At 42.9% G+C, this 14,945-nt stretch overlaps 1 protein-coding gene across 3 annotated transcripts in view, besides 2 other annotated features; it reads left to right on the top strand.

The window, feature by feature from the left end:
• ASTN2 (astrotactin 2) overlaps nt 1-14,945 on the top strand; it is a 991,946-nt gene that overhangs the window by 338,304 nt on the left and 638,697 nt on the right. The gene's annotated exons all lie outside the window — the stretch shown is intronic.
• Nucleotides 4,432-5,024: an enhancer, noted in NCBI's record as "OCT4-NANOG-H3K27ac-H3K4me1 hESC enhancer chr9:119834009-119834601 (GRCh37/hg19 assembly coordinates)". NCBI's record gives its function as "activates a minimal SCP1, AML or CMV promoter by ChIP-STARR-seq in primed H9 embryonic stem cells {active_cell/tissue: H9 hESC(primed)}" and the evidence as "EXISTENCE:reporter gene assay evidence [ECO:0000049][PMID:30033119]".
• Nucleotides 5,025-5,617: an enhancer, noted in NCBI's record as "OCT4-NANOG-H3K27ac-H3K4me1 hESC enhancer chr9:119833416-119834008 (GRCh37/hg19 assembly coordinates)". NCBI's record gives its function as "activates a minimal SCP1, AML or CMV promoter by ChIP-STARR-seq in primed H9 embryonic stem cells {active_cell/tissue: H9 hESC(primed)}" and the evidence as "EXISTENCE:reporter gene assay evidence [ECO:0000049][PMID:30033119]".

Below are 14,945 nucleotides of genomic sequence, written 5' to 3'. Positions count from 1 at the left end.
CAGGTAGGTAGGTGTGGTCTGTGACTACATCCTGTATTAAAGGAGATGCTCTCTCCCTCCACCCCCGCTGCCCCTGCCTTAGACAAGTTGGTGTCATTTTCACCTGAATTATTGTAACAGCCTCCTAACTGGTCTCCTTCACCCCACTCTTGTCCTCTTCATCCCAACTTCCAAAAGTGACCTTTCTACCACACACGTCTGAAAACATCACTTTTTTGTTGAAACCTTCTGATGGTTTCTCCTTGTCATTATAATAAAGTTCAAATCACTTAGCCAGTGTCATCTCAACTCTCTGCCCCTCAAACTTTCAATGAGATGAATCCCTCCCTTCTTCTATCCCCCCCTCTTTTTCTCCTTCCTTCTTTCCTTCCTTTATTCGACAGAAATTATTTTGAAGACCTACAGTGTGCCAGGCATTCTGCTCCATCTTATTCTAATCACGCAGTCCCCTCTGTCTGGGATAATCTTCTCTTGCCTTTTCACCCTCAACAGTGACATCTTGTTCTTTAAAAATCAGTTCAGCTATTCCCCACTCCAGCGTGCTTACCAGGTGTCCACGAAGCTCAGCAGGTGCCCTTCCTTTATGCCAGCATGGAATTCACTACTACCCCCAATCACAGCTCTCTCTCATATTCTCTGTAACTGCCCATCTCATTGTCTGTTCCAACCAGACTGTGAAGCCTGCAAGGGCAGAGACTACTTCACTCAGCTCTGTATCCCCAGGGCCTATGGAGCAGGCTTTCAGTATGATTCTTGTGATCTGAAATGACCCTGGAGTTAAATGGTGGGATGCCTGCTGAAGGTCTCTTCAGGAGACTGGAGGAACCTCTCTTCTTAATACAGGTAATTTACCTGTGCTGTCTCATTTAGCCCTTACAATATGAGATCTTGTCCTGACTTGATGGATGAGAAAACTGAGGCACAGAGAGGAAAAGCAACTTGACTGAGTCACAGTTTTAGTAAACAGCATGGAAAAGAGAATTAAGCTTGTGTCTAACTCCAAAGCCTGAAAGCTTTTAAGTTGTAATTTTTACCTCAAATTATATAGAAGGTCAGTGGCAAAGATGGAGCTAAATATTAGGCTCTCTGACTTCTGGTCACAAAGTCACACTAGAAAAGGGTGTACTCCAGGGTTTCCTGTGTGAAAGGTAGTCTGAATTCCCATTCTCCCTGTAGTGTCTGGACCAGAAAACAAGGGAGACCATGAAATTGCCAAAAAGACAATCAGCCTGCCCCCTCCTCCTCCTCCCCCTCCCCCTTCCCCTCCATCTGCCCACCACTGCCAGACTCTAGTCGATGGGTCCTTGGTTCAGGATTCATGAGCCTTCTTGGTGTGTCTCTTTCTTTCCATCTGAGAGGGCTTGACTCTTCCCTCTCTCAGCTAATTAAAAACCCCAGCCTGGGCCGCCAGCCTTGGATCACAGGCTGCTGGGCAGAGGCGCTGACGCTGTGCTGATAAATCACTCCCTGGGGCTAGGGGAGGCTGGAGCATTTGTCAGAGGGGCTGGGCTCATCCTGGACTCCTTTGGGAGATTTGGGGACTGCTACAAATGGACCATGTCCACCCCTTCTTGCCCCAGAAGGGGCTCCATTAAAAATAGGAGGGCAGGGATCGCCCAAGGATGTTGGGGCAGGAGTGGCCCTAGAGTCATCTTCTGAAAACATTTGTTAGATTGTGTTATTCCCTTAGATACCTTTGGTGTCTCCCTCTTGGCCTACATGATAAATTCTCAACTTCTTAGCCTGACAGTGGGTGAGGTGTAGTATAGCATTTAAAAGCATTGCCTCTGGAAATTTACAGACCTCGGTGTAGATCATGACTTCGCTGCTTACTCACCTTGGATATGTTATTTAACCCCTCTGTGTCTCATGGTCTTCACTTAGGAAATGGAAATAAAAACTACATGTTGATAAAATAGACATTCCTATGCATATACATAAATATACACATGCATGCATATACATATGTATGTGTATTTACATAATATATAGATAGATACGTAGATAGTTAGGATTGAAAGAGGTATTGTATACACAGCCCTTAGTATAGTTCTTGGCACCCTGCACCATCAAAGCAGCTGCTACTGTGGTCCCTGTAGCTGCAGCCACTTCCACCCCAACGATTGCCACTTCTGCTGTTCTGACAGCGCATCCTGCCTGCTGTTAATATTAGCCAAATCCACCTCTCTAGCCTTTACTTCCATTCCATCTTCTGCTCACACTTCCACAAACACACCCTGCACATCTTCGCCTGCTAGTATATGCTGGGCTGTTCCATCAGCCTAGAGTATCATGTTGACTCAGCTCTGTCTAATAAAACCTAAATGTCCCAGCAGGTCTGGTTGGGAAAAATGTTACCACCTTTCTGAAGCTTTCCCTGATCCCTCAGACCAAATGTCACTGTGGTGGCATGTTACCTATATCTCTTTTGTCATCAAACCCTCGTTCCTTTCTTAAAATTGTGGTTAGTCTTGCACGTCTCTATTCCTCCTCCTCCTCCTCCTCTAGAGAACGGGCAACATGGGGCAGTGACTTGCTCAGACCTGCATTGCTAGTGCTCGGAATCATGTTTGACATAGAAAATATGCAATAAATGTTGGCAATTAGAATAAGAATCCCAGATAACCCCATTCCTGTACTATTAAGGTCTTTTTTTTTTTCCTCAATAGAACAGAACGCTGTCTTGCTCATTCATCCTTCTATTCCCGGCAGGTGAGGGCCGGGGATAATAATGGCCATCGCCTGGGCTTGTGTGAATCAAGTGAACTGCTGCCCTTCAGTGATGAGTGACTCCCCCAGACCACAGAGCTAACCAGTTCCATAGACTCGAGTCCATTTTCTCTGACTTTCATTTTATTCTTTCATCCACTAGGGCAGGCTTTGTTCCATTCTCAGCCTCACCTGGTGAAGTCTAGAAGGATCTCTCCAGTTTGGTATCACTTTTGCCTTCTCTGCTTTGCTGAGGTGTTTGTAACAGAGAAATTCCACCGCCTGCTCCCCCAGGCCCATTGCTGGAGTTACCCAAGAGCACCCCCCAGTGGTTGTCGACATAATTTGTCACTCCTGAGAGAAGGAGTGGTTTGTCCCTTCATTCATTCATCAGTCATGCATTGAGTGTAACAGTATATTTTTCACCCTGCAGTAATTGCTGGAGATACAAGATGAATCCAACCTAATTCCTGGCCCTAGGAAATCTACAGTCTGTTGGGAGAAAAATGGTAACATTAAAACAGAGATTAGCCGTCCATTGTGATAAATAATATAATGGGAGTTTGTGGGCTGTTGTGGGATCCAGAAGAGGGTCTCACAACCCTGCCTGGACTGGAGGGTGGACAGTAGGAAGAGGGGATGGGAAGATTCCCTGAAATAGATGATATTGCAAAGGATTAGGTGGAATGAACCAAGCAATATCCAGGAGTGGAGTGGAGAAGCAGGACAGTCCCTGCAGAAGACACCCCTAGAGGCAGGAAGCTGAGCGGAATGAGTTGTGGGGGAGGTCAGCCAGGCCTGGTCATAGGAAGCCTGGGGACTCATTAAGAGGCCAGGACCTCATGCATACCAGCAAGGGGGGTGCATTAGATATTTTCATCGGAGAGCGACTAACCAGTTATCTAACCCTGCATTTTTATTTCGGCAGTCTTTCTCTTTCATTTTGTTTGAATTTGTGCTGCACTATATCATCTTTGACTTTCTCTGTTTTTTACAGATTCTCTGCCCCTGTCTTTTTGTTCTCCATCCCTCCTTTTCTCTTTTGTAGATATCTTCTTGATCTCTCTTCATCTCTATTCCTTCTTCGTCTTGTTTTTCCTCTTTGAAGTCTTAACTCTTTTGCCTTACCTGCAAATCACTCTTTGTCCATACCTCCATGTTTTCTTTTATGTTTGGATACCTAACCCTTTGTATGCTACAGAGCACTGAATTAGAAGTCAAAGGTTTTAGTTCTGCCATTACTTTGCTGACACTTGTTAGAGGAGCCACTTAAATTCTATATACCTTAGTTTCACCCACTGCTAAAAAAATAAATAAATAAATAAAGTTGGACTTTGTGTCATGATATTTCACAACTCCAGGAGCCACCATTCCACTCCTTGGATTCCAATTCATAGATCCATGAGATCAGGGCCCCTGGAACTATGCTACAAAGGGCCCTGACTTAGATGAGTTCTAAACATCTGTTCAAATTGACGATTCCATTGTCTTTCTCCTTCCTCTATCCTTGATTCATTCTTCTTTTCATCTCTTCCTCTCCCCATGTATCCTCTCTCAATTTCTTCTCAGCTCTAACTAGTGCCAGACTGCAAGATGTTCGCATCCAAAACACTTGCAAATTGACAGAGTGATTTGTAATTGAAAGATGATGGTTTGGGCAGAAGGCATTTGTTTTCATACTCTCAGCATTACGATCCACAGTGTCTCAAACCAGCTGAGACTAGAGAAGTCTGTATTAGATATGAATTTAGAGGCCTCCCAAGGAGCTGGAATACCAAACAAGATAAATTCAAGGATGTGTGCTATTCCAAAGAGGCTTCATTCTTGGAAACGATAGAATAATTTATTACTCAGCAAACGGACTAGGGGGTATCTTGTAGGAGGCCCCATAATTCTGCATAATGTAGTGTTTAAGAGCATGGACTTGAAGTGTATGAATTTCAAGTCCTGCAATGTGACTTACTACCTGTGCAATTGGATTCAATGTCTTAATCTGTAAAATGGGAGTGGGGGAGGAGCCAAGATGGCCGAATAGGAACAGCTCCGGTCTCAGCTCCCAGCGTGACTGACTCAGAAGACGGGTGATTTCTGCATTTCCATCTGAGGTACCGGGTTCATCTCACTAGGGAGTGCCAGACAGTGGGCGCAGGCCAGTGGGTGCGCGCACGGTGCGCGAGCCGAAGCAGGGCTAGGCATTGCCTCACCTGGGAAGCGCAAGGGGTCAGGGAGTTCCCTTTCCGAGTCAAAGAAAGGGGTGACGGACGCACCTGGAAAATCGGGTCACTCCCACCCGAGTATTGCGCTTTTCAGACCGGCTTAAGAAACGGCGCACCATGAGACTATATCCCACACCTGGCTCAGAGGGTCCTACGCCCACGGAATCTCGCTGATTGCTAGCACAGCAGTCTGAGATCAAACTGCAAGGCGGCAGCGAGGCTGGGGGAGGGGCGCCCGCCATTGCCCAGGCTTGCTTAGGTAAACAAAGCAGCTGGGAAGCTCGAACTGGGTGGAGCCCACCACAGCTCAAGGAGGCCTGCCTGCCTCTGTAGGCTCCACCTCTGGGGGCAGGGCACAGACAAACAAAAAGACAGCAGTAACCTCTGCAGACTTAAATGTCCCTGTCTGACAGCTTTGAAGGGAGCAGTGGTTCTCCCAGCACGCAGCTGGAGATCTGAGAACCCGCAGACTGCCTCTTCAAGTGGGTCCCTGACCCCTGACCCCCGAGCAGCCTAACTGGGAGGCACCCCCCAGCAGGGGCACACTGACACCTCACACGGCAGGGTATTCCAACAGACCTGCAGCTGAGGGTCCTGTCTATTAGAAGGAAAACTAACAAACAGAAAGGACATCCACACCAAAAACCCATCTGTACATCACCATCATCAAACACCAAAAGTAGATAAAACCACAAAGATGGGGAAAAAAACAGAACAGAAAAACTGGAAGCTCTAAAAATCAGAGCGCCTCTCCTCCTCCAAAGGAACGCAGCTCCTCACCAGCAACAGAACAAAGCTGGATGGAGAATGACTTTGACGAGCTGAGAGAAGAAGGCTTCAGATGATCAAATTACTCTGAGCTACGGGAGGACATTCAAACCAAAGGCAAAGAAGTTGAAAACTTTGAAAAAAATTTAGAAGAATGTATAACTAGAATAACCAATACAGAGAAGTGCTTAAAGGAGCTGATGGAGCTGAAAACCAAGGCTCGAGAGCTACGTGAAGAATGCAGAAGCCTCAGGAGCCGATGCGATCAACTGGAAGAAAGGGTGTCAGCAATGGAAGATGAAATGAATGAAATGAAGTGAGAAGGGAAGTTTAGAGAAAAAAGAATAAAAAGAAATGAGCAAAGCCTCCAAGAAATATGGGACTATGTGAAAAGACCAAATCTACGTCTCATTGGTGTACCTGAAAGTGATGGGGAGAATGGAACCAAGTTGGAAAACACTCTGCAGGATATTATCCAGGAGAACTTCCCCAATCTAGCAAGGCAGGCCATCGTTCAGATTCAGGAAATACAGAGAACGCCACAAAGATACTCCTCGAGAAGAGCAACTCCAAGACACATAATTGTCAGATTCACCAAAGTTGAAATGAAGGAAAAAATGTTAAGGGCAGCCAGAGAGAAAGGTCGGGTTACCCTCAAAGGGAAGCCCATCAGACTAACAGCGGATCTCTCGGCAGAAACCCTACAAGCCAGAAGAGAGTGGGGGCCAATATTCAACATTCTTAAAGAAAAGAATTTTCAACCCAGAATTTCATATCCAGCCAAGCTAAGCTTCATAAGTGAAGGAGAAATAAAATACTTTACAGACAAGCAAATGCTGAGAGATTTTGTCACCACCAGACCTGCCCTAAAAGAGCTCCTGAAGGAAGCACTAAACACGGAAAGGAACAACCGGTACCAGCCGCTGCAAAATCATGCCAAAATGTAAAGACCATCGAGACTAGGAAGAAACTGCATCAACTAACGAGCAAAATCACCAGCTAACATCATAATGACAGGATCAAACTCACACATAACAATATTAACTTTAAGTGTAAATGGACTAAATTCTCCAATTAAAAGACACAGACTGGCAAATTGGATAAAGAGTCAAGACCCATCAGTGTGCTGTATTCAGGAAACCCATCTCACATGCAGAGACACACATAGGCTCAAAATAAAAGGATGGAGGAAGATCTACCAAGCAAATGGAAAACAAAAAAAGGCAGGGGTTGCAATCCTAGTCTCTGATAAAACAGACTTTAAACCAACAAAGATCAAAAGAGACAAAGAAGGCCATTACATAATGGTAAAGGGATCAATTCAACAAGAAGAGCTAACTATCCTAAATATATATGCACCCAATACAGGAGCACCCAGATTCATAAAGCAAGTCCTGAGTGACCTACAAAGAGACTTAGACTCCCACACAATAATAATGGGAGACTTTAACACCCCACTGTCAACATTAGACAGATCAACGAGACAGAAAGTCAACAAGGATACCCAGGAATTGAACTCATCTCTGCACCAAGCGGACCTAATAGACATCTACAGAACTCTCCACCCCAAATCAACAGAATATACATTTTTTTCAGCACCACACCACACCTATTCCAAAATTGATCACATACTTGGAAGTAAAGCTCTCCTCAGCAAATGTAAAAGAACAGAAATTATAACAAACTATCTCTCAGACCACAGGGCAATCAAACTAGAACTCAGGATTAAGAATCTCACTCAAAGCCGCTCAACTACATGGAAACTGAACAACCTGCTCCTGAGTGACTACTGGGTACATAACGAAATGAAGGCAGAAATAAAGATGTTCTTTGAAACCAACGAGAACAAAGACACAACATACCAGAATCTCTGGGACGCATTCAAAGCAGTGTGTAGAGGGAAATTTATAGCACTAAATGCCCACAAGAGAAAGCAGGAAAGATCCAAAATTGACACCCTAACATCACAATTAAAAGAACTAGAAAAGCAAGAGCAAACACATTCAAAAGCTAGCAGAAGGCAAGAAATAACTAAAATCAGAGCAGAACTCAAGGAAATAGAGACACAAAAAACCCTTCAAAAAATCAATGAATCCAGGAGCTGGTTTTTTGAAAGGATCAACAAAATTGATAGACCGCTAGCAAGACTAATAAAGAAAAAAAGAGAGAAGAATCAAATAGACACAATAAGAAATGATAAAGGGGATATCACCACCGATCCCACAGAAATACAAACTACCATCAGAGAATACTACAAACACCTGTACGCAAATAAACTAGAAAATCTAGAAGAAATGGATAAATTCCTCGACACATACACTCTCCCAAGACTAAACCAGGAAGAAGTTGAATCTCTGAATAGACCAATAACAGGAGCTGAAATTGTGGCAATAATCAATACTTTACCAACCAAAAAGAGTCCAGGACCAGATGGATTCACAGCCGAATTCTACCAGAGGTACAAGGAGGAACTGGTACCATTCCTTCTGAAACTATTCCAATCAATAGAAAAAGAGGGAATCCTCCCTAACGCATTTTATGAGGCCAGCATCATTCTGATACCAAAGCCAGGCAGAGGCACAACCAAAAAAGAGAATTTTCGACCAATATCCTTGATGAACATTGATGCAAAAATCCTCAATAAAATACTGGCAAACCGAATCCAGCAGCACATCAAAAAGCTTATCCACCATGATCAAGTGGGCTTCATCCCTGGGATGCAAGGCTGGTTCAATATATGCAAATCAATAAATGTAATCCAGCATATAAACAGAGCCAAAGACAAAAACCACATGATTATCTCAATAGATGCAGAAAAAGCCTTTGACAAAATTCAACAACCCTTCATGCGAAAAACTCTCAATAAATTAGGTATTGATGGGACGTATTTCAAAATAATAAGAGCTATCTATGACAAACCCACAGCCAATATCATACTGAATGGGCAAAAACTGGAAGCATTCCCTTTGAAAACTGGCACAAGACAGGGATGCCCTCTCTCACCACTCCTATTCAACATAGTGTTGGAAGTTCTGGCCAGGGCAATTAGGCAGGAGAAGGAAATAAAGGGTCTTCAATTAGGAAAAGAGGAAGTCAAATTGTCCCTGTTTGCAGACGACATGATTGTATATCTAGAAAACCCCACTGTCTCAGCCCAAAATCTCCTTAAGCTGATAAGCAACTTCAGCAAAGTCTCAGCATACAAAATCAATGTACAAAAATCACAAGCATTCTTATACACCAACAACAGACAAACAGAGAGCCAAATCATGAGTGAACTCCCATTCACAATTGCTTCAAAGAGAATAAAATACCTAGGAATCCAACTTACAAGGGATGTGAAGGACCTCTTCAAGGAGAACTACAAACCACTGCTCAAGGAAATAAAAGAGGATACAAACAAATGGAAGAACATTCCATGCTCATGAGTAGGAAGAATCAACATCATGAAAATGGCCATACTGCCCAAGGTAATTTACAGATTCAATGCCATCCCCATCAAGCTACCAATGCCTTTCTTCACAGAATTGGAAAAAACTACTTTAAAGTTCATATGGAACCAAAAAAGAGCCCGCATCGCCAAGTCAATCCTAAGCCAAAAGAACAAAGCTGGAGGCATCACACTACCTGACTTCAAACTATACTACAAGGCTACAGTAACCAAAACAGCATGGTACTGGTACCAAAACAGAGATATAGATCAATGGAACAGAACAGAGCCCTCAGAAATAATGCCGCATACCTACAACTGTCTGATCTTTGACAAACCTGAGAAAAACAAGAAATGGGGAAAGGATTCCCTATTTAATAAATGGTGCTGGGAAAACTGGCTAGCCATATGTAGAAAGCTGAAACTGGATCCCTTCCTTACACCTTATACAAAAATCAATTCAAGATGGATTAAAGATTTAAACGTTAGACCTAAAACCATAAAAACCCTAGAAGAAAACCTAGGCATTACCATTCAGGACATAGGCATGGGCAAGGACTTCATGTCTAAAACACCAAAAGCAATGGCAACAAAAGACAAAATTGACAAATGGGATCTAATTAAACTAAAGAGCTTCTGCACAGCAAAAGAAACTACCATCAGAGTGAACAGGCAACCTACAAAATGGGAGAAAATTTTCGCAACCTACTCATCTGACAAAGGGCTAATATCCAGAATCTACAATGAACTCAAACAAATTTACAAGAAAAAAACAAACAACCCCATCAAAAAGTGGGCGAAGGACATGAACAGACACTTCTCAAAAGAAGACATTTATGCAGCCAAAAAACACATGAAAAAATGCTCATCATCACTGGCTATCAGAGAAATGCAAATCAAAACCATCTCACACCAGTTAGAATGGCAATCATTAAAAAGTCAGGAAACAACAGGTGCTGGAGAGGATGTGGAGAAATAGGAACACTTTTATACTGTTGGTGGTACTGTAAACTAGTTCAACCATTGTGGAAGTCAGTGTGGCAATTCCTCAGGGATCTAGAACTAGAAATACCATTTGACCCAGCCATCCCATTACTGGGTATATACCCAAATGACTATAAGTCATGCTAGTATAAAGACACATGCACACGTATGTTTATTGCAGCATTATTCACAATAGCAAAGACTTGGAACCAACCCAAATGTCCAACAATGATAGACTGGATTAAGAAAATGTGGCACATATACACCATGGAATACTATGCAGCCATAAGAAATGTTGAGTTCATGTCCTTTGTAGGGACATGTATGAAATTGGAAATCATCATTCTCAGTAAACTATCACAAGAACAAAAAACCAAACACCGCATATTCTCACTCATAGGTGGGAATTGAACAATGAGATCACATGGACACAGGAAGGGGAATATCACACTCTGGGGACTGTGGTGGGGTGGGGGGAGGGGGGAGGGATAGCATTGGGAGATATACCTAATGCTAGATGACGAGTTAGTGGGTGCAGTGCACCAGCATGGCACATGTATACATATGTAACTAACCTGCACAATGTGCACATGTACCCTAAAACTTAAAGTATAATAAAAAAAAAAAAAAGATAAAATGGGAGTGATGGTACTTCTGAGAGGAGTAATTGACCATATTACATGCATTATCTCATTTAATCTTCTACCTACATTTTAAAGATGAGGTTCAAAGACATTAAGATACTTACGAAGAAAGTGACAGAATCAGAGCATATGCCTATTTGACCCCAAAGCTGGTGCTTTTATTTTTGATATTATACCACCTCACATCTGGGCCTGAAAACCTGAGTCTCTTTAATAGACTTCAAGTTAGGGGAAAGGAAAGGTTGATAGATAGGCATAGAGATGCAGTGGCTGTGGGTTCTATAATTGACAAAGAAGTAAGAGTACAAGGATTAGGTCACTTGTTTATACTCATGTTTATTCAACAGACATTTCCTCAACACCTGTATGGACCAAATGTATGATTGGCTCTAGTACTCTGAACTGAGTCACAGATGGTCTACACTCCAGGCAAACTCTAAATTCTGGTAGGGGAGAGAGACAGGTAACTAAAAAATGAGTTACAGATGCTGAAATGAACTTGATGGAGATATACACACTTAAGAACATCAAAGAGGTTTGTGCAAATCCAGCTCATGGGTTCAGTCAAGAGTGCTTCCACACAGGCTGGAGGCTATACTAATACTGAGTCTCGAAAAAAAGGTAAGTTCTCACCATGTGCAGGATGTGAGGAAAGGCACTCCAGGAGGGGGATATTAGTTTTCTGTGGCTGCTGTAACAAATTACCAAAACTTGGTGGCTTAAAATAACAGAAAGTTATTCTCTCTCAGTTTTTGAGGCCAGAATTCCAAAATCAAGGTATTCCAGTGTGGGTTTCTTCTGGAAGCACGGAGGGAGAATCTGTTCTGTTCCGTGGCTTCCTCCTAGCCTCCTGGAGCTGTCAGCAATCCTCGAAGTTCCTAGTCCTGTATGTGCATTGCTCCAATCCCTGTTTTCCTCACATCCTCCTCTGTTTTTCTCTTATAAGGACACCAATCATTGGCTTTAGGGCCTATCCTAAACAGAGTATGATCTCATCTAGAGATCCTGAACTTAAATGCATCTGCAAAGACCCTTTTTTCCATGTAAGGTCAATTCTGAGGTTCCAGGTAGACATGTCTTGTAATAGCCACAATTCAACCCACCACAAGCAGACAGCAGAGAAACAGCAGTTGAAAGCATCTAGGTGGGGCCAGTGACTAGGCGTGCTTGAGAGTAGCTCAAAAATCTTGGATTTTTTTTTTTAAGTATATAGATCTAGGGGTTACATGTACAGTTTTATGACATGGATAGATTGTGGTAAAGCTTAAGCTTTTAGTGTATGCATCACCTGGATCATGTGCATTGTACCCAACATGTAATTTCTCATCCCTTCCCCCCGACCCTCCTACTTTTTGGAGTCTCCAATGTCTATTATTCCACTCTATATGTCCATGGGTACACATTGTTTAGCTCCCACTTATAAGTGAGAAGAGGAAGTATTTGACTTTCTATTTCTGCGTTATTTCATTTAGGATAATGGCCTCCAGTTCCATTTACGTTGCTGCCAAAGGCATTCTATGTTGAGAAGTTTGGATTCTTAACATTGGGTGATGTTGGGTCATCCCTTCTCTCCAAATCCCAGTTTCCCCATTTGATACAACAGGGATCATCTGCGAAGACCTTTAACATTTTTCCAGTGTTGATATTCTGGAATCCTGGAGCTGAGGCAAAGACTGTGACACCCAGTAGATACCAAAATAGCAATCTGGCTGGAAGCTGGACTGCAGCAGCTTGGAGGAAGCACTGGCCATCCCAGCGGCCCTGGCTGGACCGTGATAACAGCTCTCTAACACCACTGTTAATCTTTAATTGGTATTTGATTTGATTTAACATGATCTTCTGCTTGTAAAACACCTTGAGATGTTTCTGCGTTGTGAGCGCGTCCTGGAAACACCGGTTTATTGTATTAACAAGTCTCGGCCAGAACATAAAGGGAGATAATTAGAAACAGCAAAGTCCCTTGACATGCTCAGGGCAGCCAAAAAGCTCTCGGGAAAACAATCTTTCAGCTGCTTTCATGTATCCAAAAGAGAAAGCTGTTGGAGCAGCCCCAGTGGATAGGAGAGCTTGTTAGGGTCACTTGGCACACTATTTATAGCTCTCGGCTAGCTCTGCTTTCATCTAGCACTTGTGGTCCTGTGGCTCACAACACCCCAGTAAGGTTTTGCTACAACCCTTAGGACCCCAACCTAGGAGCCCACTGGCTTGCTAGCAATTTATTTGTAAGACCATTTGGCATATAGGCTGTGCTTTCTTATAAAAGCAAACATATGCTCAAGGGCAGTGTTCCCAGGCTAGCCCACAAAAGTTGATTTACCTTCTAGTGGACTAAAAGCATTGCAATACTGTCCTAGATAACCAGGTGTATTAGTCTGTTTTCACACTGCTGATAAAGATATACCCTAGACTTGGTAATTTATACAGGAAAAAGGGTTTAATTGGACTTACAGTTCCATGTGGCTGGGGAGGCCTCACAGTCATGGTGGAAGGTGAAAGGCACGTCTTATATTGCAGCAGGCAAGAGAGAGAATGAGAGCCAAGCGAAATGGGTTTCCCCTTATCAAACCATCAGATCTCATGAGATTTATTCACTAGCATGAAGACAACATGGGAGAAATCACCCCCGTGATTCAATTATCTCCCACTGGGTCCCTCCCGTAATACATGGGAATTATGGGAGTACAGTTCAAGTGAGATTTGGGTGGGGACACAGAGTCAAACCATATCACCAGGTGTTCAGATGAGCCCCAAATGGTTCTTTACCCTGAAGAAATGTACCTTATGAAGGACAAAATTATAAACTGTGTCTAAGAATTGCTCTAGTTAACATATTACCATGGAATATATTTTAACTGTAACTATACCTGACATAGTAAGTATATAATGAAAATCTACATTAATGTGGTTGGATTCCAAGACTGTTCCAGAAAAAGTTGTCCTTAATCTGGAATGCACTTGAAGTAAGAGAATACAACAGGTTGGTTAGCTTCCGAGGCTAGCACACAATATTCTACCTAATCTCTGCTCTGGTGGAGGTATGGCAACAGTAAAAGTGGTAGTCTGGAGCCAAGGCTAGCCCCTTAAAAAGTTTTCTGTATCCTTAGTCTTCCTGCGTATTGATATGGTTATGAATAAGTTTCTAGTCTTATCTACAAGCCTAATTAACCTGCTATATATAAGAAATATGAACAGTATTCCTTTCACTAGACATAAATATGTGCTTTACACTTAATTTTAAAGAAATGTCTTCTGTATTTCTATATAGTATGCTAGAAAAGTGCACACATACATGAGTGTGTACACACACTCACTTACACCATTACCATTGCTCTGAAGGCATCAGCACCCATAGGCACTCAAGGGCATGGCTAAGGGCTTGTTGCAGATTGTATTGAATGCATGGATTATCACTGTGGTTTTTAAAAAACCTTTCTCTGATTCTCCATCTGCAGGAATAATAGTTAACATTTCCAGGAAAAAAAATGTTTAAAAATCAGATTTCTAAACCCCACTCCCAGAGATTCCTGTTCAGTAGGTCTTACACAGGGCCCAAAGCACTGTATTTTTAACATGTCTCATAGGGAATTCTGAGCCAGGGAGCAACAGAAAGTTGCACTTGCTCAATAAGGTTAAGGGGCTATTGGGGGAAAAAGCTCCTTTTTAGGTCCTAAGTGTTGTGAGTGGTGGCTGTCTAGAGATAGTTGTGGCCCTATTCTTGTGTGAGGTGAGAAGATCCTCTAATGGTGACTGGATCAGGTAGTTTGGCTGAGGTGGCTGACCTTGATAAATCCATGGTTACAGTGTTGAGGGCAGGCCGGCCCACTTGGCTGCCTCAATTTAGGGCCAATCCTGCTGGAGTTGGCCCCTCAAATAAAGTCATGCCCCTCGTTGTACATAATTCATCGTGTGGTACAGGAGAAGACCCATCCTTCAAATTCAAACCTTGCGTGAGATCCCAGCTCCACCACTTACCAGCTATATGGCCTTGGGCAGGTAACTCAGTTTCCTTGAGCACCTTATCTTGATCTGTAGAAGTATGGACAGTGTTGTAATGAGGTTTAAACAAAATAATGTGGGCAACAAATGACTATACTATGTGGCATATGGTAGGTTTCCAAGTATTTCCTTCCCTCCTCTCTTCCTTTCTTGATTTTTTTCCAACTCTCCCCTTTTCTTCCTCCTTCTCTCCTTGTA

Source organism: Homo sapiens, chromosome 9, assembly GCF_000001405.40.
Source record: "Homo sapiens chromosome 9, GRCh38.p14 Primary Assembly".
NCBI classification, from domain to species: domain Eukaryota; kingdom Metazoa; phylum Chordata; class Mammalia; order Primates; family Hominidae; genus Homo; species Homo sapiens.
The sequence above is the reverse complement of the archived record's forward strand: the minus strand, read 5'-3'. Positions and strand labels throughout refer to the sequence as shown.